Source organism: Homo sapiens, chromosome 3 (genome assembly GCF_000001405.40).
Source record: "Homo sapiens chromosome 3, GRCh38.p14 Primary Assembly".
NCBI classification, from domain to species: Eukaryota; Metazoa; Chordata; class Mammalia; order Primates; family Hominidae; genus Homo; species Homo sapiens.
The window spans coordinates 35,727,852-35,754,444 of record NC_000003.12 but is presented as its reverse complement, the minus strand read 5'-3'; the positions used below and the strand labels follow the sequence as shown (position 1 = coordinate 35,754,444).

Sequence of the window (26,593 nt, the reverse complement as noted above, 5' to 3'; positions counted from 1 at the left end):
GATGTTAATAGACATCAGACAATTAAGTCCTCGTGTCACTCTTTAATAACTCACCCCTCTGCTTTTGGAAATATAATAATGCAGACACCCAAAGTATAAATCATGTCCTCAGAGCTGTCAAGTGTAACAACTTTTGCATTGCTTCTCTTAGTGTTATTAGTTACACCTATTTCCTCAAATAAAAATTACAAAGAATAGTGGACTCTAAATATTAAAATGTATGTAACTTATTAGGAAAATACATCTTTTTAAAGAATCATCAACTCTTAGAGAAGGCAAATTAAGGTATAAAGACAAAAATCCTACTGTTTATAAATTAATGCATCTTATTGGTCATACCAGTATTCCACATTCTTTCTTCAGCTCTGATGCTCCTTCTCCCCATCTCCAGCCAACCCCAAGGAGCAAAAAAATCAAGGTGAAGAACAGCAGAAGCACAAAGAATGAGAAAAGCGATATTTGAAAAAAAAAAAAAAAAACCTTCTCAATTACATTGACAATTACATTAATCAGTCAAGCTAAAAATATTGAATTCACTGTCAACCCTTACTCAACTGCTTTGGTTAAATAAATTTGTAAATTCCATTAAGGTACATTTTGCCCCATCCCAAATGTGTTTCAGAACAACATTAAAGAGGCAATAACCTTATTTCTTACTTGGAGCTGTTAATACTAACAGCTCGCTATTATATCAGAAACATTACTTCTAAAAGAAGGAACAAAAAAACTAAACACGTTACTATTTATTGAATTTCTATGAAGAACTATCAGAAAAGAAATTGTGGCTTTGGTCTCTTTTCAAATATACATGTTCCACAGATAATCATATCTTCCTGCCAGCCATGCCACTAAGTCCATTCCACTATTATTCATTCAAGAGTAAACTGAAATGATTGAAGGAAAGAGCTGCCAGGAGCAAAGGGTGATAGGGATACATTTTCACAGTCTGGTTATTTTCTGCCATCCGAACAACTGAAATGAGCTTTCATGGAAGTATTCTTATTTTAAATTTGTTGAAATTCCCAAATCACTAGGCGTACCAAAATTGAAACATATTATACCTTTGAAAATTTCCCAAAAGGTCTGAGACATATTCCTTGGGTGTTTGAACTTTGAAACACAAAATGTGTATATTCATATGTTGACATGAATTGATTTGTTAGGCTGTCATTCTATTCTATTTCATAATATTTAACCACAGTTTTGCTCTTATTTATATTTGAATTAGATGGTTGAGAGATTTCTGTTTTAGCCTTTTAAATATTCACACAACAACTTTACCTGAAGCACCGTATTTTCCACAAGGGAAAAATAAACCACCAAGAGATCTGGCTAAAATGAATATTCTCTCTTTCTCTCTCTCTCACTTACACACACACACACACACACACACACACACACACTTCCTGCCATACCAAAGTGAAAATAGGTACACATGTTATTCATGCATTTATGAGTGTCTGCTATGTTATAGAATCACATTATATTCATATGCTTTCTTAAAATTTGGATTTGTAAACATTAGCATATTAATTCTAAATACTAGCTGTAATTCACAAGATTAGAAATGTTGACTATGAAATATTAGAATTGTGCCTAATACAAATAATGTGAAATAAAATAATGAATTTGGGTAGGTCCTCTCCCTTTGCAACAACTTGTATATGAGCTGGCAATGAATAAAAATGTACTATTTATTACATTGCTTTCAAAACAGTAGACCAGTAGCGCCAGCATCACCTGGGAGTTTGCTAAAAATGTAGAATCTCAAGACACTCCAGAGCTTCTGCACTGAAATGCATTTTAACAAGATCTGGGTTTCCATGCACATTAAAGTTCTAGGACCCTGGTTATAGTAACCTTCTCATCTCCCATGAGAGGGCTTGGGGATAGCATTTGCAAGATGTTTTTACGAATCTTCAGAGGCTTAGAGTTGATTTGTGTACAGAAGAGCTAGAGGGAATTGAATAACTATAACTGAAGAGTTGAAAGGCATTTTGAATTTTTGTTCCAGAGGGAAACAAAAACTGGCCTATTTTAAAGTTTGTATTTCTGACAGGCTGACCCCCTCCAACTTCACAATTCTTCACCAAAGAACTCTTTAAACATACATCGTTTCCTCAGATGTAGAATACAGGATTGATTCAATGGCATCTAGATCCAAAAGGTCAGAGTGCTGTCTGCAGATTCCTGATTGATACTGTTATCATAGTATCAGTCAGCAAAATAAAACAAACAGGATATACATTCCCTGACCTGGTTTCCTCTTCCCTCACCATTCTTTCCTATATCTTTTATTTGCATGTATTTTTAGTTCATTGCAACCTGATTTATCTGCATCCATCGTTAGCTTCCCCAATTAGCTCAACAAACAAGAGGCCTGTTGCAAAGGCTCATTTCCACCTTCTCTATCTGGGAAGAAAAAGATCATACTCTGACAGTTGGAGAATCTCCAGTTCTTTTCTTATGAGTGGGGATAGGTAATGACGTATTTCCAAATTATTGAGATACTGTTTCCTCTTATTTGTGTGCTCTCTTTACAACTTGCAGGTATTAGATGGTTTTGAGTTTACATAGGCAGAGTAGACTCTGACAAGTCAGACTTTGTCAGACTGAATAAACTTGCTGAGTTTCTGAAATCTGTATCTGTCATTAATTCTGTAGGTGCTAAAGTAGCAGAAGACCCTCTCTGGCTCTGACAAGAGAGACTGCATTGGACCAGAGACTGGCCTTCTAGCCTCACTTTCCTCATTTAGCAAAATTAAGTATTTAAACTCCATTTATATTCATAGTACTCATATCTCATTCTGGCTGTTGAGCAGACTGTAAGGGATAGTCCAAAGTGAGGTTTATCTTAAATGTAAGTGAAAAGAGTGAGTAAAGACATTCCAAAAAATTCCAAAGACTTCCACTATTGTCTTCCGTGAGAAATTCCAATTCTACTACTGCAAGGCAGATTGGAGTATCGCTTACTTACTCACGCAGAACAGAGGTACATTAAATCACCATAAGAAAGCCCCATAAAAGCTGCATGGGTTTTGCAATACTATGCATTTTTAGGATTTCTTTTTCATGGCCTCCTTCTGAACTGTAATTTCAAAAGTAAAACATTTTAATGGAAAATGCTCTATGAAACTGCTTTTTACCCAAAATGAATCATTCAGCAGATAGTTGGGAGTAGGGGAGGGTAGAAGAGAAAAGGGATTTTATAAAGCAGAGGTGAGACACATCCCTACAGTTTCAGAATCCATATCAAATGATTTGCTGCAGTTATAATTTAATTTAACTTAAGGTTCCCTCATGCTCTTTTTTACCCTCTTTACTCTGCTATGTAGCTGTCTTGATTTCGTATTGTTCTATCTTCACGGCATTCAAGAATATAGACCCTCCTGGTCTATTAGGAAGGCAGATTGTTGAACTGTCCTTTGTAAACGGTCAACTTCATCACTCCTCTACCTAAACCTAAAGTAGTATTACTGGCATTAAGCAACAGGGCTGAAAGCCTGGCAAGTGAGAGATGCGGGCAGAAGCTTATAGGAACAGCTCACCCAAAGCCCAATCACTGTTCACAGGACTTTCACCTTCCAGACTATTTTTATGAAATGTTAACTTTTTTTTAGGTGATAAAACATTTCTTATTCAATTGCAAAAGGAACTAAAAGATAGCATGGTCTGAAAAACCAAGTCCCTCCTCTGTCTTTGCATGTCAGGGACACTGGAGGCAACTTTTGCCTTGAAATTCATTCCAGGGCTTTAGAAAGTCTTATGGTGGGGTTGTGAATATCCACCTCTCAGCAACTGATGGAACTGTAAACATAAAAACAGAAAAAATACGGAATACCTGAACAACAAAATAAACCAACCTGATTTGGCTGATATATATAGACCATCCCACCCAACAACCACAGAATACCCAGTGTTTTCAAGTGCTTATGGGACATTCAACTAAATAGGCTATTTCCTGGGTCGTAAAACCACCTCAAAAATTTTATAAGAACTGAAATCATACAGAATATGTTATTTAACTATCACAGAATCAATCAAGAATCAGTAACAGGAAGACAAAAGGAAAATCTCTAAACACTGGGGCATTAAGCAACACACCACTAAATAATCCACGGGCCAAAGATAAGGTCTCAGAGAAAATTTAAAAATATATACAAATGAATGAAAACGAAAATACAGCATATCAAAATCTGTGGGACACAGCTAAAGCAAGACTGAAAGGGAAATTTATAGCATTAAATATTTACATTAAAAAAGAGAAAAAAATCTCAAATTAAAAATCTAACTTCTTATCTCAAGAAACCACCAAAAAAAAAAAAAAAAGCGAAATAAACCTAAAATTAACAGAAGGAAGAAAATAATAAAGTAATAAAGATAAGTCAGTAATCAGTGAAATTGAAGCTAAAACAATATAGAAAAATCAATGAAACAGAGCTAGTTCTTGGAAAAGGTCAATAAAATTGATAAATCTAGCAAGGCTGACAAAAATAAAAAGAGAGAAGTTAAAAATCATCTATACCAGGAATGAAACAGGATATCACAACATATCCTGAAGCTACAAAAAGATAGTAAAGAAATAAAACTATCAATTTTATACTCTTAAATTCAGCCACTTGGAAGAAATGGGCGAAGACCTTAATGATCACAAACTACCCAAACTAAGCAAAGATTAAATATATAATCTGAATACTATAATCATAAAAAATTAACTCACAATTTAAAATCTCCAGAAATTATCTTAAAATACAAAGTTAAAAAAATGTTTCTGAAAATCTCTAGGGTCAAATGGATTTATTGGAGAATTCTAACAAACATTTAAAGAAGATTTAGTACCAATTTTATACAATCTCTTTCCAAAAATAGAAAGGGAAGGAACACTTTCCCATTCATTTTATGAGGCTAGTGTTACTCTGACACTAAACCAAACTTCTTCCCCCAATTCCCATTTAAGAACACACATAGAACACACATAGGATTTTATAAGTTCCTTTTTTTTTTTTTTTTTTTGCTTTTAGGAATGACCAAGATTTTGGAGAGCCGAGAATGAAGCTAAGTATATTTCTTTTTAAGTCAAACTTCATAGGAAATTTGGAGTTGGAAACCATTTAAAAGGAACTCTTTTTTGTTTTCTTTTCCTTTCTAGTGTGTGATTTGAATGTAAATGTCTCAGCTGCTTTCTGCCATTTGTTGTTATTGATCATCTCTACAAAGTGATATGGAACCCCAAGCTCAGTAGGGAGGCAGAAGACCAAGGCTCTTATATTTTCTGCTTTTAGGTCAACCTGTGTACTTGAACAATTAACTAAATATTACCTGCCTCTATAACATGGGCATGCTGGTTTATTTCTCACATGCCAGTTTTTATGCAATCATCCATGTTAGCATATAAAGGCAAAACTAGTAACCATGTTTAAGTTGTTCCAATAAAATGCTTAACACATGGGCTTAAAACCAGTCACGTCTGGGTGCTTTTCCCTACACAGTTAACCTTGAGACCCAGGATAATTTATTTCACCTCCCTGAGCAATAGTTTCACCTATCTGTAAAGAAGGAACGGTGTATTTCCCTTGCAAACTTGTGGTAGTGATTAAACTAGCCCACTAGAGATCCCGAGTCAATGGGAGATGTGATAATTGCTAATATTTTTGTGGCCTTAAATATGTTTCTCAACAAGAACAAAACCATAGCAACACAGGTACTAACTAAAAAAATGGCATGAGAGCTAACTACTAAAATAAACTTAAAACATTAAGGAATGAAATGTTTGTTCATCAACACTTCATTTCAATATCTGAAGGTTGAGAAACTCTGTTTCCAGTTAAGATATTCTCACTTCCAAGTCTTCCAAAGATAGAATGATTTTAAAATTACAGTCTTTTTATAAACAAGCCATAAGCTGATAACTGCTTTTCTTTCCTCTTTCTTTCCTTCCTTCCTTTCTTCCTTCCTTCCCTCCCTCTCTCCCTCTCTCTCTTTCTTTTTCTTTCTTTTCTTTCTTTCTTTCTCTTTCTTTCTCTTTTCTTTCTCTCTCCTTTCTCCCTTTCTTTTCTTTTTCTTTCTTTCTTTCCTTTTCTTTCTCTCTCTCCTTTCTCCCTTTCTTTTCTTTCTTTCTTTCTTTTTCTTTCTTTCTTTCTTTCTTCCTTCCTTCCTTCCTCCTTTTCTTTCTTTCTCTCTCTCCTTTCTCTTTCTTTCTTTCTTTTCCTTCCTTCCTTCCTTTATTCCTTCCTCCCTCCCTCTCTCTCTCTTTCTTTCTTTCTTTCTTTTCTTTTCTGTTCTGTTCTTTCTCTCTCTCCTTTCTCCCTTTCTTTCTTTTCTTTCTTTCTTTCTTCTTTCTTTCTTTCTTTCTTTCTTTCTTTCTTTCTTTCTTTCTTCCTTCCTTCTTCCTTTTCTTTCTCTCTCTCCTTTCTCTTTCTGTCTTTCTTTCTTTTCCTTCCTTCCTTTCTTCCTTCCTCCTTCCCTCCCTCTCTCTCTCTCTCTTTCTTTCTTTCTTTTTCTTTCTTTCTTTCCTCCTTCTTTCTTTTTCTTTTTTCACAGGGCCTCGCTCTGTCACCTAGGCTGGAGTGCAATGGCATGATCATGGCTCACTGCAGTCTCAACCTCCCAGGCTCAAGCAATCCTCTCACCTCAGGACTTAAAACTCTACACAATGAATTTTTATAAAGTGAACTGGACACTATACTATTGATTAAATAGGAAATCTGAGTTCCCCTGAGGCAGAGTAGGGAGACATAAGTTCTTTATCCTCGTGATTTTGTACTCCTCCAAGTTGCTGGGACTACTGGCAAGTACCACCATGCCTGGCTAATGAGGCCGTGCACCTATCCTGATAACTGCTCTTCCACACAGACTTGGGCTATCAATAATTCCCTCAGAAAGAAAACCATCTCCCCACTATTGGAGGTACCTGATAATGCCAGATTGGCAATAAACGGATTCTTCTGTTGGAGATATTTGTAAATTGAAGGTTTTTTATTTTTCTCACAAATGTAGCTACAAATTCCAAATATCATTTTGCAACTCCACCATTTGATTTCTCTAAACTTTCTCGACATTAGTGTTCTTTTTTTTTTTTTTTTTTTAGATGGAGTCTTGCTCTGTTGCCCAGGCTGGATTTGGAGTGCAATGGTGCAATCTCGACTCACTGCCACCTCCACCTCCCAGGTTCAAGCGATTCTCCTGCCTCAGCCTCCCCAAGTAGCTGGGATTACAGGCACCCGCCACCATGCCCAGCTAATTTTTATATATTTTTTAGTAGAGACGGGGTTTCACCCTGTTGGTCAGGCTGGTCTCGAGCTCCTGACCTCAGGTGATCCACCTGCCTCCACCTCCCAAAGTGCTGGGATTATAGGTGTGAGCCACCACACCTGGCCCCAACATTAGTGTTCTTTATTTATAATTACCACCAACATAGGCTTCCTCTTCCACATGTTTAGGACCTTTTACCATGTGCTGATCGGATGAAGAGTACAAAATCACCAGGATAAAGAACTTATGTCTCCCTACTGTGCCACAGGGGAACTCAGGTGTCCTATTTAATCAACAGTATAGTGTCCAGTTCACTTTACAAAAATTCACTGTGTAGAGTTTTAAGTCTTAGGAAAGATGTAGTAACTGACAGAGATTTCAATTCTGGCAAGAATGTAGGAGAAGGAAGAGAGGCTTTTTACTGCAATTAAATAAAGATTAAGAACAGCGCCAAGAAGCAAATTCAGATTAAAATCTCATTTGACTTTAACTGACATAATTCTGTCTCACTCTAATTTTAACCACGTGATAGCTGAGGATGTTATGACATAATCTGGTGTCATTATCAGATGAAGATGGAAAAGGGTCAGATCCCAAGACACACAGCTGCAGGAGGCAGGAGGAAGAACAAGTTAAAACATGACTGTGGGAGGGTGACATGCTGATAGTAGCCCATAGTTTGACTTAAAGATGGAGAAGTCTTATTTTCTAGTTCTTCCAGAAAATATAACTTATACAGTTATCTGAAGAGGCTCTTTCCTCTATGAGATAGTCCATCCACATAGAGTTGCTCTCACAAATGACTGCCATGACCATTTGGAAAGTTTCTGTTAGTCTCCCTAGGCTCAACAAAAGGACGCCCAGCTGTAGGACCCAGAGCCTCTGTGCACTCTCAAAGAGCCACTGTGTGGTCTGGTTACTTGGATTTTATTAGCAGAAGTGATTCTCTGTAAGGTCAGGGAACACCATCTGCTTTCCCAAATACTAGGTACATTCATCACTGTGGTGGAAACTGTGTTGGGATTTTAGGCCAGGTATCCAGTGTGGTGGTCACAAAAACTAAGAGCCCAAAGGTCTCAGTGTGCATGTGTATACTAATGCCATCATTTCTGGGGACAATACTGTTTATGATCATTTCACTTTTCTCACTTCCTCACCCTGTACAGGCCACATTAACTGGCACTCACTTCCTTGACACCCTAGGCACTGCCTTGCTTCTATATTTAGCTTGATGCTGCTCTAGAGTGCACTCTTCTCATTACAGTGTCATTATCTTACCTTGGGAGGGTCATTTTTGCGGTGATGTGGGAGAATGTGACAAACCAAAGCTACCAGGTTGCCATGGAATGTAGGTGGAGCCAGTGAGGTCTCTAACTGAATGGGAGAGGGTGTTTCCACATCCCTAAATTCTCCCATTGTGCTTTATTAAAGAGTAAAAAATGCCTCATATATTGTCTCTTGTTTTGACATCCACTAACAAAGTTAGTGAAGAGGAGAAAAAGCAATGGAGAAGTCAGTGGGGGAGGCCTAAACTTTTTTGAAATCTAATTCTGTTGCCCAGTTATCATATTCATCTAACTTTCTCATCCCCTCACATAGATCTAGAGTTTATGGGTTTAGTGGATTGCAGCATGTTTTGTAACTGCGTTTCTTTGTATGATGACACTCTACCACAAGACTGAAATAATCTCTTTAAAAATTGCCACACAATGGCACCAAACCTAATAAAAATCATTATAATTAGATATCTGCATCTTTTTTCTTCTAAAGGCATTAGTAACCAAGTAGAAAACTTGCACATAGCCTCTAAACCAAGATCCTCAAGATTGTAAATTAACCCTTTAATTAACGTTAGCATAAAATAAGATAGTCCAGAATGCAAGCAACACATTTCTACAGCATGTATCTAAACTGATAGCACCGTTACCACCAAAATGATAAAGGTAATAACGTTTTCCACAAATTAGAGAAAATATTGCCAAGTGATTTTTTAAAAATAAATAGTTATTTGAAACCCTTTAGTGTTCTCAAAACACTGTAAAAGTCTAAAGTCAATTCAGAGGTCAAATATATTCTTCCCCAAACTAATACAGTGCTGAAACAAGACAAAATCTGGCTGGAAGATATAGGTTTCTCTAATTCTTCTCCCACAGACTTTAAATAGGCCATGAGATAAACCAAAGAACATGTAACCATCCACAATACGGGGGAATTTAATTCTTTCTCCAATCTGACAGGATGCTAGCAGTGTCAGCATTGGTATTCTTAGGATGTCTGTGATTGGTGCTAATCCTTGGCAAGAACTGCACTTTTCTCATAGGTTATAAAAATGGTACATATTGTGTATATATTACATACATGTATCTGTATACATTCCATATGCATAACATAGATTCAGTGCAGAAATCAGATCACGGAGCAGGCATCTATGAGTAGCAGCAAGGAGCACGTGCTCTTTACATGACCTACTTACAGAAGGCAGAGTCTCCCCGTCAGGCAGTCTTCAGCATGACAATTAGCAGTTTTTCCTGCAGTTTGGTCAGCAGGAATGACACAAACCTCTCCCTAGCACAAGCCACTCAGCCCTGTCGGGTTCGTGCTGCTCTTTGGATAACGGCATTCCATTAGGAGTGTGACACAGTAGGGAAAGAGACCGGTTCACTGTGAGACCTGCTACTCACTCTCGTACAGTGTATCGGCCCCCCTTCCCACTGCACAGTGGCTGCCGGGCTCTGGGCAGGAGGCATGTGGCCATCATGAAAGTGAACCATGGAGTCAGAGTTCCACCGAGACACGCTGGATTGTCAATAGCCTTCTTCTAAAGGCAGTATCTTTTAGCACGATATTGAAACAACCTAATTTGGTTCCCTAGCCTTAAGAACAGAGGAAGCACTCTCTTCAAATTGAAAAGAAAAAAAAAATTAAAAGAAGGTATGAACTAGAAAGGTACGGACATGGTTGACTTTCTGCTTTAACAGAAGAAGGATCAAAAAATAATTTATGGAGACTGTTTAACATGCATGCCAGGGATGCTAGTCTGACATATGCTTCACCTTCTTGTACCTACTACTTTTCCACACAGAGTCAATCAAATGCTTTGTTATCTTCTCTGGGTAGAGAAAATGTGCTGGTTTAAATTGCCAAGCTTGGACACTCATCCAAAGAGTACAAGATTCACCAGCAAAAATAACTGGGTTGAGAAGCAAATGGGAAACAGATTCCAAGTACCTGCTTGCTGTGCTGCCTGTGGCATCTGTTGACTCCTCTGAGCGTTGTACTGAACCGGGGCCATGGGCCGGTACTGTTGCGTGGTTGAGGTAGGGTACTGACCAGATGGGTAATAATATACAGGCATCTGTGGAAGAAAGGAGGAAGAAAGCAGAGAATGAAAATGTAGATAATGTAAATTTTTAAACTTAAAATATGCTTTCGTCTTATAATTGTGGTAGGTTGTGAAGATGGCCACCGCAAACTTCTCCCATGCCTATGTGTATGTGCATGCTACTTCTCCCGTAAAGAGGCAAAATCCATTTCCCAAACTTAAATCTGAGCTGGTTCTGTGACTTTCTTTTACCAACGCCATGAGGCAGAAATGATGTCTGAGTCTTTCAAGTCTGATCCTAAAGAAGACTTGCAGCTTCCACGTCTGTAGGCGGGGAACCCAGCCAAGAGATAAAGAAGTCTAGACTATTCTGCTGCAGAAAAAGGCCATGTGGGGAACACAGGTACCCCCAATTGACTGGTTACCCTCCAGTTCCAGGCATGTAAGTGTAGCCCTAGTCAAGCCACCCCAGCCATATGGAGCAGAGATGAGCCATCTGTGATAAATCCTGCTCAATTGCTGACCTAGTCGTGATCATACAATGGTTGTTTTAAAACAAGACTTTTGTGTTTTTTAGATGAAACAAGAGAGAGTGAAACAGTTATCATCAACAACGAAAACCTACATTTTAAATATTATATCTAACTTGAATTGCTTTTCTAATGGAAACAGGGGTGAAACATGAAAACTGCTGATCTGTAGCCTAAAAGGAGCAGAGAATGCAATCATGAAATATGGTAGTCTATCAAAGCACATTGCAGAATGATTGGTACACACCACTATTCAAAAAAGTATGTTCAATCTAAAAGGGAAAATATGATAAAAATGTTGTTTATGCTACCTTCTTAACTTTCTTATGACTGAGAATGAATAAAATTATTCTGATTATTTGATTATGATCCAAATCAAATGTTTCCTGATCTGATAGACTTCTTTGCCTGCCTCAGTTCATTTATATTAAGGTCACTTTCTTACTGATCTTAGTTAATTATTTTCTATCTCTGGGCTTCTGAGTTTTCGCCTATCATATTCTCTAAAATAACAACTGAAGTACCCTAGTAGACCGCCTACAAACATTATATACATAGGATAAAATTACAAGTCAATTATTTGAGAACTGTGATTTTCATGGTTATTTTGTTTTCTGATTTGCTCAGGTCTAATAGGAAACACTTTTCTATTTCAATATTGCTGTTGAAACATATGTAACATATTTTGCTGCCTGAGGATAAAGTGGGAACAAAATATAACTTAATCTGTGTGAACCTGTAGCTCTGCAATTTCATGGAATCATGATGAATTATAACTGTGGCTACATAACATATGGATATTCAAGGGCAAGAGGCTGAATGAGTCTAAAGCAATCTTGGGTCAGTATCTGGCAACTAAGTCATTGTATACCTTGCTTATAGTGATTCGCTCTTACTACTTCTCTCTTTTTTGTCAGGCAGTTTATAACAATAAAAAACAAATAATTCTGGAGTAATAATAGCATTTAGCTATGCTCTGGCAAACTTTGGTGGTATTAAAGATGACTACCATTATGCATCAGATGCCTCCCAATATTAAAAATAGGAACAACTTTCATCTAATTTATTTGTCAGCATTTATATTTACATGTCTTTTAGGAAATAGCGTTTTGTTCCTTTAGAAAAGACTGTCTTGCTTAAATGTAAGCTCATGAATGTGATATCTATTCCTTGATCTCCCTTCTTATGTTCAATATAAAACATAAAATATCCTCAGGGATGAAGGAATTTATACTTAAAAATGTTCTGATGAGGACTAATGGTTACAATAAAAGTACAGCTGCATGGAAAAAAATTTTGAACTCAATTTTTGTTGTTGTTTGTTTTGTTTTTTTTCTTTTCCCCAGACATAGCTTCTGTGATACCTTCACAAGCTGTGCTAGAGATTTGGCTACTTGAATCCAGCGCCACTCCAAGGTGGCGCTTTGGTTAGCTCTTAGGAACTATGATCCCCAACCGGATGAAGCAAATGAGATCTTGGTCTAACCTCATCCTCTCTTAGAGAGGATGGAAAGAAAGCCAGGTTAACAGCAATCTTTTAAAAGATCAGTATGAAAGGTTTGAAAGGAGAGAGGTGAAGGGAGAAAGGAGTAAGAATAGCCCCAAAGCTCAGAAATGTATATTTTCAGCCAATCATGTTAAAATATGGAGAATCCAAAAAGGAGTGGATTAGAAGAGAAAAGAAAGAAGAAACTATAAAAAATATGCACTTCTCCCATTTCCCTTCTTCAAATCCCTCTTTGTCTCGTCCATGTGCTTTTCACTTCACCTTTCCAGTGGGCATTTAGGAAGCATACATGATGAGTCAGATGAAATCGACCTTTACATTTATTAAATAGATTCATTTTCTGCAGAAATTTAACATATTTCCACATATTTGTGGGCTGAATCTGAACTAAGTTATTTCCATTGTTCCATAGTTGGGTAATCAGATTTTAAAATGTTTACTAAATTGAAAGTTACTATGGGTTATAGCCTATACCTTTATCTGTGATTCTTCAAAAAGAAGTTCATAAATGTCTAGACTGATTATGAACCATGGACACCTGTTTTATCTCCCTCTCTTTCTATCTTTTTAAAAATCTGTTAAAGAAGGAATGAAAGTATTTCTGTCACAGACACAAGAGGGGTTATGAATTGCTTTTGTTTCTGCAGTGGATTAATATTGAAATTCCTTCAGTGAAGAAAGACTTTCCTATTAAAATATTTATCTACTTATTTACTCATTTATTTCATTTTCTGAGATAGGGTCTTGCATTGTTTCCTAGGCTGGAGTGTAGAGATATCATCATGGCTCACTGCAGCCTTGACATCCCAGGCTCAAGCGATTCTCCCACCTCAGCCTCCCAAATAGGTAGGACCACAAGAATGTGCCACCACACCCAGCTATTTTTTTTTTTAATTCTTTGCAGAGATGAAGTCTCCCTATATTGTGCAGGCTGGTCTCGAACTCCCAGGCTCAAGTAGTCCTTTTGCCTCAGCCCCCCAAAGTGCAGGGGTTAAAGGTCTGAGCCACTAAGCCTGGCTAATTTTTCATTTATTTATTTATTTATTTTAAAGATCTTTAATTAAACATTCTGCTTACATTTTGTTTGACAGCAGAAATTAGTAAGGACACTTAAACGCTTTTTAGGCCAAAAGAGCTAAATTATTTTTCCCAATAATTAAGCTTGAAGTTATTAATTTATTGGTAAAAGTATTAATACTTTAATGAAGCCCTTTCTCCTGTAACTTAAACTTATTTTACACATCTTTTAAGATCCCACTTCTGAAGAGATATTACAGAGAAGGCAACTGAAGATGAACTATTAATTAATCACTCAAAATAAAATGAACAATTTAGTGACAATTATTTCTTGGTAGAGGGTTTTGTGTGGCTTGAAAAGAAAATAATTTATTCAAGATGTTAAGGCAGTGAAACAAATGATACGAAGGTGACACTGCACTTTAAACAGCTCATCCAATGCAATACTTCATAATTAGGATGGAATTTTCTTGGGATCGGTGTGCCTTGAAAATGGACCAGAAAATGCCTCTGTGCATTTTATATCTTGACAGTAATCACTTCTAATCTTCTGCAAGGGATACCCAAGAGAGTACCAGAGATGTTTGGTGGTGAACAGTAACACATAATCAGTCTTTGAGAAGACAGTAAAAATCAGTGATCTGTGGTGTCTTACATGCTCAAGTCAATTAAATATGATTAATGGCTACCTGTGAGAGATGTGTGAGCTCTGCTTCCCCTTAGGGAGAGAAAAGGACTGTGGATATCAGCTTACCTTCCTCCTTTATATTCATAGAGGAGCTCCTGCCTGGAGCAGCAGATTAGCCCCAGAAAATGCTTGAGAATTGATAAGAAAGGAAAGAATGCATTTTTGGGGCAGCAGCAAGAGAGTATTGAAAGTCTCCTAGGTGCAGACCTTTCCCTTCCCCAAGGCTTTTCCTTCCTAGGCAATCCCCTGAGCTGGATATCACATGGGAGGGAATGCTTTCTTATGGTCTCTGTACCAGCAGCCTGGAAAATGGGATATTCCCCTGTTGTTTTCATGGGCAGTTGGATCAGTTTCATTCAACTCACTTTCTGAGCCCTATAACTTTGAACAACTGATGCATGAAAAAATATACTACTTCCTGTTGGTGAGGAATATTAATATAGACTAGAAAGGGAAGAGGGAGTGAATCTGGTTATTTTCTACATAGAAAGATAAAGGTCAAAATGCATCAGAAATCAGCTGTAGGTCACAGGCATGAGGAAGCACACCTACCTGTGCAGGCGGAGGCTGTTGCACAAATCCCTGTGGTGAGGGAGGGGGCTGGAGGACCTGCTGGGAGATGGGAGGGCCAGAGCCTGAGAATCCTCCTGTAGGAAGCTGCTGGCCTGTAGAGGCGATTACATAGCTGGGCTGCTGGGCCGGCTGTGGCATAAGGGAGGATGGGTAGACAGGACCTGATGGGGGTTCAGGAGTCTCCCCCGAGGACTGCCGGCTCAGGGTCATCTGGCCAAACTGTGTTGCCACATCATCTCTCTGCAAGTCATGGAAATAAATGAGGGAATTCACAGGATCAGCTTGGTAATAAGAGAGGCACTCTGAGGCAGACACAGGACACATTCTTGGAGTTGTGGGAGAGACAGGAAGTACAATTTGGAAAAAATAAAATAAAATAATTCTTCAGCCAGAACATAACAAGAGAACACAACATGACAAATCAGGTTTTAATCATCCCAAGAGAGTCAGAGATGACAAAAATTTTGATCCAAATATTTCTCTTTCAATGGAAACAAATTATTTTTCCACTGAAGGCACAGGCTCCTCAGGGTGGTGTTGCACACAAGGAAGGCTTGATGTTCTGTCCTGAAGGGTCAGCTTGTCTTCCCAGCAGAAACCACAGAATTTGCCTCTCGAGAACACCCATAAGGCAGAACCAACTATACTCATCATCCCCAGTGCTGTTGCAAAGATGGAGCCAGGACCAGTATCACCAACAGGCTGGGTGGGATTATATTACTATATGAGGGAGTATTTATTCACTGGCCTGATCTAAAATTTAGGAGCAATGTTCATCCTTTAAGCTGTTGCTCAAAATGACCTGGTGACTTGAGGGAAAAATGAAAGAAAATTGGGAGATTGGAATTGCGGGGGCACCTACATCAGGAGCATAGGGTGATAATGGTTCCCATCCCAACACCATCCTTGAGATCTTTCCCGAACCCTCATGCAAAGTTCCTGTATCTCTCTGTTCCTGATTTCTAACTCTGAAGGCATTCAGTTCCTTCTTTGCTGGTATACTCTGAAAAGGGTAACAGACCACAGAAGCACTCAGCATGGGACAGACAGATGACAGAAAGGAAACCATTGTTTTGCAGAGATGGGCTGTAATGTTCAGAAATGAGACATTCGCACATACCCCCTCACAGTCAGCCCAGGGCACCCACCCCAGTGTCAGCCAGTGGCACACAAAAAAGTAGTAAAATCAGAGAATATGCTTTCCTAGGGGAAAAAGTCATATACACATAATACAGTACCATGGGAAAGTGCTGCGTTGGAGACACAGGTAGGAGGTGCTGGGGAGGAAAAGAGACTGCTGGATATTGCACTGACTGGGAGGAAGCCTGCAGCCCCTGGACAGACTGGAGGAAAGAAAAAATTGATCAGCTGACAGAAAAGCACTGGGGTTGAAATCTCACAAGATGCACACCACTGTCCTTCATAGGCTCTCTAGGTTCAGTGCACTCCAGAGAGGGGAACTAGCCACCAAAGGAAAGTCAAGGCTCTGAAAGACCAGAGCCAGACACATTTGAGAGAGGCTCATTTGCACTTAGTGATTATTTCTTTAAGAAGTTACTGATGTACGTTTGATATTGTTGGTTAGATCCTCTGGGTCTGAAAATACTGCCCCAAAACAAATAAGTAATATCAAGAATTTAAAATGAGTTTCACTCTAGCAGCCTACCAGAAACACTTCAGGTTTCTATGGACGCATCTGTGTCTTCCCAGCAAAGGAGGGCAGCTCCGCATCTCTCTAAGAGGAGTATGTAGGAACAGCCAGTCCTCCCTGGAATTGACTGATTTCTGTTCTTCCCATTGATGAAGAATTCAGTATTGACTCTTTGCAGACATGAGCATTTGATCTGTGACGGGAATGGGGGAGGAAGGTGACGCAAAGACCTAGAGTTCAGTCTCTGAGAGAGCCTCCTCCATACATTTAAAAAAAGGGCATTTAGACCTAAGAAAAAATCATTTATTCTCCCTACTTTCATGCCTTCAACTTGCAAGTTACTGCATGGGGCACTCACCTCTATCTAAACTTAAGGATTCAGATAAAATCCTGTCAATCTGCAAAGAACTCTATGCTGCCAGGTTTTATTTGTGAGGCTTGAGTGTAAAATATACGCTTCTCCCTGATTCTCTGCTGCTCTGAGGACTATGTAGCCTTCATCTCAGGGTACTTCCCTTCCCTGCCTTCCAACCAGCCCCCTACCTGAGTGACCAGAGGGCCTGCCATCTGTGGCTGCGGTGGCTGGACCTGCTGTTGGGGCTGCGGGGAGGGCTGCTGCTGTGGTGGCTGCTGTTGGGACTGCCCCACCATGGCGCTTCGCAGGGGCTGCTGACTGGTGGGTGGGTTGTATATTGCAGGAGTTCCATCGGGATTCACAAAGGGCTGGCCTGCAATGGAATCAGAACTTAGTCCAGGTAAGCTTCTCAATCTCTCCTTTGACATGAAGAACCACTCTGTTAGATACTCAAAAAGTAACCTAAAGTAAAGGGGCAGGGCAGTGGAAATCTAAGACCCCAAAACCTTCACCAATGTGAAGACCTTACTGTTTGTGACCCATCGCTTAAGCTAGGTGACAGTGGGAGCCCATAGCAATTTAAGAAGCAGCAAATAAATCGACCCCCTTCAGGGAGCTTTGCCAAAGCTAAATGTATCTGTGGACGGAGGTACCCAGTAGAGAGACCTGTGGAGAAGCAATCTTCACAAAGCTAGATGTTTTGCTGCACTGCACCTCACAGCCATTAGTGAGATAACATACACTGAAGGATAACGGCTGCTTTCCAGTTACACACCTCCAGCTACATTCAGTCACAAGTTATTTACCAATACATTTATTTTGCTGCTACTAAGCCTTGTCACCAATTCAGAATCATTATCAGTTCTTCCAATAAATATACAATGGAACATAACATATCCATTCACTCATTTCTCGAAATAGACATAAGCAAGGATACCCGGGGTTTTAGATTTTAAAAGTAGTACATCACAGAATCATCTTGTAATGGAAAAGCTAATATATATTCTTTTGCCTTATGAAATAATGGCATGGTTTACTATTATTAATACTGCTATTCGTCATAGTATTGCTTTGTCTTTGAGGAGTATTTTATAGTTTACAAAATAGCATCATTTGAGCCTCATCACAATTCCTGTGAGGAAGAAAGGTATCATTTCTCTGTTTTTCAGAAGAGAAAATGAAGCTCCATTCCTGGAAAAATTATGGGAATAAAAAGCTGAAAGGAGAAGAGCAAAGTGCAGTCAAGGAGCGGGTGTGGGGGCATAAAGGAGAGAACAAACCGATTTTCTATGTGGCAAGCACAGTAACAGGCACCTTACATGTATGATCTTAGCTCTCCTAACAACCTGCAGAGGTATATTCTCATTTCCACTCTAAAGAAATTAGGAGTCAGGGGGACCAAGCAACCTATTCAGAAATATAAAAAAACAGTAAGTGAGAGAACTAGAAAATGACCCTGGTCAGTAAGACTTCAAAGTCTATTCACTTTCCATTATGCCAAATAACTGAAGTGAATTATCCAATTTTACATAATGAGTACATGGAACAACTGGGTAACGATGAAAAAAAATGTGTCGTAACTGAAAATTATTAATCAATGAATGAGAAGTCAGGTGAGGTGAAGGACATGTTTCAAGGTGAAGTAACACCCAGTATTGGCAGATAAATAATGAGAAGCATCAGAACATGAGGGAATGGATAGGCAAACTGTTCATTGAACTACTTGTGAGTCTTTTCTTCCCTTTTCAGTAAATCCTGTAACCCTATTGGAAAAGGAGCAGTGGGAATATTTGTTCACAAGTTGAAGTCACAGAAATATTCTCTAGGAACCTGAGCAAAATACTTAGAGAGAATGGGGCTCCCAGGATGGGGTTGATATTTCAGTGGAAAGTCCTCCTTATCTTGGCATAAGGGAGATGGTGGAGGCAGCATGCTGAGCTCTGCCCTAGCACATGTTCTAAAGCATCTCAGTCCATACATTGTTCTGATACATAAGGCTTGCATGAGCATTCTTATCCAGGGTAAGAAGCGTGTGATGGCAGAGGAAAGAACAACAGCCTTATTCTTCAACAATATAAATAAAGAACAACCAAGGATCATCAGTCATATGAGAAAAATTTGCAACAAAAGGGAGCAAGGGACAGGCATGGTGGCTCATGCCTATAATCCTAGCACTTTGGGAGGTCAAGGTGGGTAGATTGCTTGAGCTCAGAAGTTCAAGACCAGCCTGGGCAACCGGGCAAAACTCTGTCTCTAAAAAAAATACAAAAAATTAGCTGGACATGGTGGTGCACACCTGTGGTTCCACAGGAGGCTGAGGTGGGAGGATCACTGGATCCCAGGAGAGAGGTTGTTGTGAGCTAAGATTGTGCCACTGCACTCCAGCCTGGGTGACAGAGTGAGACCCTGTCTTAAAAAGAAAAATAAAAAAGGAAGACAGACAGGTAAAGAATTTAAAAACTGACCCAGAGAAAACGAGACATTCTAGTGAAAAAAAGTACATACGATATTCATACAAGAACAGACTGTTATAACATGGGAACTAAGCTAATTAGCTAAGTGAATATTCTAAATAAAGGAAATCAGTACTTCTGGGAGAGCCTGAGGAAACTGATAGGAAGACTAGATATACTCTAGGTCTCATTCTGAGTGAAGTCACACTGATTTTCATATACGCAAAAATTTATTAAGGTCTGGACTTCAGATGTGTGCAGGTCATGCACTTCGCCTATATATTGTATAGCTCAATAAATTAGGAAAGTAAAATGGAGCAGGTTGGGGAGGAAAATGCTGAGATTGTAGTAAGGCCAAACAACATGCTCACTCGTAGAGAGCAAAAGCCTTAACTTCAGCTCACTTACGAATGGCAACCAGAGGTTAGTATTTCCCATTATTACCACAAATTTTGAGTGCAAATATATTTGTGTGTTAGTAACAAGAAACTTTGAATGTTGCATATTCAGAAACATATCTAAATTCTGATCTGTTTCATAACCAACAATAATGTGCTGTGATGGGGAAGCAAATGTGCCAGAATTATATTTGCAAAACAGTGACAAAATCAACTGTTTGGTCTTGCTCTCTCTTTTTTCTATGTTCTTCATTTTCCAGGCACTTGTTTTCCTATCACGTAGATGCATTTTATTGTTTTAAATGAATATTCTTTTTGAAAAATAACTTTCTTCTAGCTTCAAAACTGCAACCCATTTTTCCTCCCAAATCAGCAATTTGGAAAATGATTTTTAAAAGCTCAATATTAAAAAATGTGTAAGTCCATTTAGTGTTCTAATCTTTAATTTTCTTGTGTTTCATTTGTTCTATATTTTAAAAAGACAAGATAAAAATTGTAAGTACTTAACTTTTGTTAAAAAATCAGAGAGACAGGCATACGACTCCATCTGGAATTATTTCAAAATAAGTCTCATGCTGTGCACACACACAGCCACACACACATACGCACATACACATGTACATGCACAATGGAAAGGAAAAAGAAAGGATTTTTACTATATTTCTGTATGGCTTTTGATTTACCCCAATGAAAACTAAGGAAGTATGAAAAACTGATCATAACTAGAATTTTAAAATATAATCCCAAAATATTCATGTGTCTTTTGATAAATTCTAGGTCCTCCATTTGAAATATGATTAATATGCTGTGGGCTAGAAGAAGGAGATGTTTCTAAATAATTGCACAGAAAAAGCACTAAGGATTCGCTTAAGTAGAGAGAGATGGCAGGTTCTTCTGGAAAGAGAAGGGAGTACAAAAAATTGATTTTTATGCTCACCAAGGGGAGATGGAAAGAACTGAGAAACATAAAAGAAGATGGATGCTAGAGAACAGAACAAAAGCAATTTCCTAAGAGACCCGGGATAGGTGACGATTGGTTTTCAATTCAGGCAATGACAGCCTCTCTATATTCCATGATTTCTACCAATCCAGATGCAATTACACTGAATACAAGCAATTAGTTTGAATGACAGCTGCCGAAGACTAAAGAGGAAAAACGGACTGGCTGGCCCTCGGCCTAGTTAGCCTAGAGGAGGTTTTCACGTCAGAAACTGCACAAGCACGCTCAGCAGGCCTTGGCATGGGTGCTGGCATAGGTGAAGAGAGTGCAATGACAGAAATAAGCCGGGGCACTTTGAATGCAGAGCAGGCGCAGAGAAAAGGATTAAATGCAGAATGCTCATTTCTCTCCAATATATGACATTAGGTGAAAAACTGCTTTACTATCCACATCAACATGCATAATGGGTAGTAGATATTATTTCAATAATAATGTAATTATTGAGCACCTGCACAGTGCCTAAGACCTTGCCATCAATCTCAGGAAAGGAAAAAAAAAAAAGCAAATAAAAAATAAGCATGGACCCTCCTCACAAAGAAATGAACCAAAGGGCAATTCACACAAGAAGTGAAGTAATCATGCGCTCTTGGTTTTGAACACCAAAGCATTTCTGAATTTACCCTTCTGTCAAGAAAGGTAATTATTTAAAAAGAGAGAGAAGGGGTGAGAGAAAGAGATTTTCTTTTCCTAGTCTTTAGAAGATGATAGTTAAATTATAAGGGAGCTACTGATTATGGATAGACAAGGATTAACTTAGACCTTGCAAAGATACATTTATAGACAGAACACAAAATTCATGATTCATTTAATAAAAAAAAAGTGTAAGCAGTTTGGATTAATAGATGCTAGAAGTCCTGATAAAAATAAAAATATAGAATTATGGAAGTCCATCAGAAGCATTTGAAAGAGAACAGCTCTAAAAGGCTCCTCAAAGTGAAGTCACTGCAAATGGCATGACTTTATATAACACAGTCTTGAACTTGCACCAGATAATGGCCAAGAAAAATATCAAAATAACATATATGAACATTAACAAGTTTTTGAGGGATGCCAATGCCTGTTGACATTTCTGGATTGCACTGAGTTGAAGTAAAATAGCCCAACAAAGCTGAGCTTTCTGCTAAAAATTTCCAAAAGGAGGCTAGGTCCAAGACAACCAGAGGAAGATCAAACCCAAGATTCCAGGCTTGCCTTGGAAGAATGAAAATGTTATACAGGGACAACTTTGAAAAACAGCCTCCGTGACACCTCACTCATCCAGATGCCTGAAAAGCAAAGAAAGAACAGGCAAGAGGTCCTAAGTTAGAAATGGACCTGTTGAAAGCTGAGTCTGAGGCCAGACAAAATTAAAAGTTATGGTTATATTGGGGAAACTGCAAGGGTATATGTGAGTAGGTTGATTTCAGTGTGCCAAATATTTAGTACTTAGTAAGAGCCAAGTCAATTGTGCTGACAAAGGAAGTTTCATTTTTTTTTCATTTAGTAGGCACATGATTGGCAGATACCTTAGTATTTTTAAATCATTACTTGTCTTATTCTTGCTTAAAACAGATGTTTTATCAATTATAATTTTGCACATGAACGACATTCCAAATATATGACATTAGCTGAAAAACTGCTCCATTATCCATCCCACATATATAATGGGTAGTAGATATTCCTTCAATAATGATGTAATTATTGAGCACCAGTACAGTGCCTAAGACTTTTTTATCCATTCTGGAGAAGCAACAAATAAAATAAAATAACTAAGTATGGCTCCTCTGCACAACAGCTTCTAAGTATGGTTGTAAAAAGGAAATGAGCCCAAGGGCAGTTCAAATGAGAAGCAAAATAGTCATACAATCTTGGTTCCTAACACCCAAGTATTTCTGTTGTGTACTTGGCAGAAAGATACTTTAAAAAGGGTGAGAGGTGTAGTTTCTAGATTCACAGCAATGACAGAAAAAGATGAGTTCCAGCCCAGAGGAGGCAAACCTTTAGCTTCAACAGTAAAAGTCATATAAGAAATTTGATAGGTAGATACACGTACATCACACACATACATATACTAAAGATAGACCTATATATATATAACATGCATTATATATAATGCATATATGTACATACACATACATGTGCATATTTTTCAATTTACAAAATAAATATATTCTAGAAAAGAAGAAACATAATTCACCCTGCATCTCATTGTATAGTATACAATATATGCATACATTTCCTTTTGGTTTAGGATATTTTAAATTTAGCATTTGTCAGATCAGAAAAATATGTATGGAGAAGCTGTTCAACAGTGTTATTAAATCCTTTTCCTTAGCTGGGATCCTTTTACAAAAGAGATATTTTGATAACAGCTCTAAATGACTCGGTCCAATGAAAAAGAATTGGGACTTGGCATCAAACAACATTCTGTTTCTTTTTTCTACAAACAAGATTATAGATGATAATATACACATACACATGCACAACTATGCTGTCATTACAAATAATATTCCTGCATTGTACCCTAAAAATACTCTGTTGAGCTTTTTCAAAACACTCTGTAATTTTGCTTAAAACAAACCACTCAAAACAAGTGGTTAAAATGTTCTCTTTTCTGCAAGCCCTCTATCTCAATTAAAAGTGAAAGAATTTAAGCCAACAAAGTCAGACAGTACTTTGATTAGTGCCCAAAGTAAAGAATATGATCCTAGTGTTCTTTTGATTTTCTTTATAGTGCTTACAATAATCCAGATAAAATAAAAGCAATCTAAAAATCCTCCTTAGAAATATCTAATCTGAAGCTTTCAAACGGTTTTCAATAAAATGATTATGCCTTTCTTCCCTCAAGCTTATGGCATTTTCAATATGTCTCAATCAAACACCATGACTTGGGAATGTGCCATATGTTTTATGAAAATGTGGCAATTATTCAAGTAACTATTTTACTACAGTTCTCATATTTCTCTGAATTTCCTAATTACTAGTAGCATTACATTTGTGAGAAGATTGAGTCAGATAATTTTTATGAGATACTTATCCAGTTTTGCATTTTTGAGTTTAGCTAATTGAAGAAATAGTCTGGAAGGATCGAAACCAAACTTCAGATCTCTTTCAAGACAACTCCATTTATTGCCAGTCTCTAATAAAGACATCTTAAGAAGTGACTAGTCAATGTCAAGCTTTCTAAGCCGGGGATTCTCAACCATGGTACCACCAACATTTTGTTCCGGATAATCTTCTGCTGTGGAAGTCTGTCCTAGGCCTTGGGGGATGTTTAGCAGCATTTCTGTACTCTACCTACTGGGTGTCAATAGCAGCCCTCTTCTCCCCAGGTCATAATAATCAAAATGTCTCCAGATATTGCGGAATGGCCTTGGGGCCAGAGACAAAAATGCCCCGGGTTGAGAAGTTTCCCCTGCAAATTGGCAGATGTTCCTGAGTTCATTGGCTGATGTTAGAATCTCAGTGCCCTCAGTCTTTTGAAATCAATGTGGAAGTCAACTGACCCACTAGAAAAATGCAAAATTAAAGAACCAATGGCCATTCATCACAGAAGAAACCGTAATCATAAAATGAACAATTTTCTAAACCCCACCAAAATCAGTCTAAGCCTGACATTTCTAAAATACATAATAATTTTCTCTCTGTATTCTCTTCGCCACTGCTGTTTCTTATTCCTTTCATAGGAGCTGGCTGAAATTCTAAGGTTAAAAAGCAACTTCTAGAGTTAATGGTCACTATATGTCTCAACTGATACTTCAATTCCAGAAAGATCCTTGGATGCAAAAACACTTTTGACATAATACAAGCTAACTGGGGATTTAGATTGACAAACACAAAGTTTTAATTAGTATATCCCAACTCATCACACCATTTTCTCTCGTCTTAGCTCTTAAGCATGCATGAGAGACACCATAGTAAAAGAAAAAAGACAGAAAAGTGGATGCTTCTGGAAATATCTATATCTATACATCAATATAGATATTGATATGAAGATATAAATATAGAGTTATAGATACTGCTGTAAATCTGCTCTTTCTAAACAAAAATGCTTCATAACAGTTCATGCAACTAGCTTTCCTGTTCAGGAATTTTCAGAATACTTGCTAGCAAATTCATAAGATCAAACATAAGAACAAACATCTGAAAGCCTTGTGTCCCTGATAAAGCAGGTAGTAACTCACCTGTGTGTGGATTAAGAAGGATGCTTCCAGGCGGGATGCCTGTTGCAGCTTCAAGTGGAAGGAGGATGTAGCTGGTGCTGCTGGGAGCAACCTGGCCCCCTATTCCATTCTCTGGATAAGGCACACAGCCTGGAGAGCCAGCTGCCACACCTGAGACTAGGGGTGTGCTCTGGAGAGGTGGATGGGTGCGGGACAGCGATCCTGAGGAGCCTGCACTGCTGGAAGACTCGGAACCTGGCATAGGGATACAATCAACAAATCATTGAACACACAGAGATGAGAGAAAGCACCAATCTGAGTCTAAATGCTCACTTTTCTGCGACACATCATTAAAGAATTTGAGACGCATGCTGTAGGATGAGATTAACTAATGCCCCTCTCATATTTTGGCCTCATATTTTATTGAAATATTTGCTACTTATTTTTCAAGTGTGTCAATTTTCTGGGAAAAGAGGAATTAAGAATGAGAACTTTCTCTCAGCCTTTTCACAAACTACTAGGGTGATAAACTGGTAAAGGGTACCCTAAAGCTCTGAACTCAGTACCTGAAAAATCCCTCCTATATCCCCAAGTAGTTAGTACCATGGAAATGTCTTACTAAGCTGAAAAATATGAATAAAATGACAGGGATTGTGGTTAAAGAGACTGCAGCTTAAGGAAGAGCCCTATGATGTGAAGTTCATGTGCATGGTTCTGAAGTACTGGTTCTCCGACACCTATACAGCTGAAGTCTGAAGGGGCCTAGTCATAAATAATCTTTTACCTTCATGTGTGAGTAGAAGACCTGGGATCATAGTGTATATGAGCAAACACATTTCAAAATCAAATAGGATCCCTTTTAAGGAGTGGCATGGTTTAGCAGAATGTGATTGAGTGTCAGGGAGACAAAGATGAATCAGGACACTGACTTTTTCTAACCATCTGACCAGAGGCAACTTTAAACCATTGAATGTTATTATTTTTGTGTGTAAAGTTGAAACTTTAGATATTAAGGATTTAAAAAAAAAAAAAAAAGGATGGGCTGGGCACAGTGGTTCACGCCTGTAATCCCAGCACTTTGGGAGGCCAAGGCAGGTGGATCACAAGGTCAGGAGATTGAGACCAGCCTGGCCAATATGGTGAAACCCCATCTCTACTAAAAATACAGAAAATTAGCTGGGCGTGGTGGCACGTGCCTGTAGTCCCATCTACTCAGGAGGCTGACGCAGGAGAATCGCTTGAACCTGGGAGGTGGAGGTTGCAGTGAGCCGAGATTGCACCACTGCACTCCAGCCTGGGCGACAGAGTCAGACTCCGTCAAAAAAAAAAAAAAAAAAAAAAAGGCAAGGAATCAAATAGATGGTGGGCATTATTATTATTATTATTATTATTATTATTATTATTAATGTAATATATTTAAGTGTTTATGGTACTGCATTGAATTTTACATATTTGAAGAAGTCTTATCAATATAGCTAAGAGGTGGACCAAAGAGGGCTTGGCCTTATAATGACTGAGTATCCTTTAAATGACACAGAATAGTAAAATAATCGTGATGTTTATGGATTCTGAATTTTTCAAACACACAGGTAACAGGAACAGTGTGCAGAAGCCCCTAAGGTGAATCTAACAATCTCTTCTGTCCCACCATTTATGGATAAAAATAGAAACATATCCCAATATATCCATTGGGCACTCACTGGCAT

The 26,593-nt window shown here is 38.3% G+C and overlaps 1 protein-coding gene and 1 non-coding gene across 75 annotated transcripts in view; both read right to left on the bottom strand.

Annotated features, from left to right (window-relative positions):
- Positions 1–26,593, bottom strand: part of ARPP21 (cAMP regulated phosphoprotein 21) — a 155,634-nt gene that overhangs the window by 40,042 nt on the left and 88,999 nt on the right. For 71 of the 74 annotated variants that reach the window (NR_170705.1, NR_169632.1, NR_170707.1 and 68 more), the window contains 5 exons: positions 24,909–25,142; positions 17,083–17,267; positions 16,127–16,231; positions 14,868–15,128; positions 10,480–10,606 (listed from right to left, as the gene is read on the bottom strand). Coding sequence is in view for 64 of the 74 variants with exons in the window: in NM_001385489.1 (NP_001372418.1) it covers positions 10,480–10,606; positions 14,868–15,128; positions 16,127–16,231; positions 17,083–17,267; positions 24,909–25,142 (912 nt within the window). In the remaining 10 variants the exon portion in view is untranslated. The remainder of the gene's footprint in view (positions 1–10,479; positions 10,607–14,867; positions 15,129–16,126; positions 16,232–17,082; positions 17,268–24,908; positions 25,143–26,593) is intronic. The other 3 variants (NR_169633.1, NR_169644.1, NM_016300.5) reach the window with 2 other exon arrangements.
- MIR128-2 (microRNA 128-2) lies at positions 9,886–9,969 on the bottom strand. Its single transcript, NR_029824.1, has one exon. It is a non-coding gene; the product is annotated as a microRNA 128-2 (primary transcript).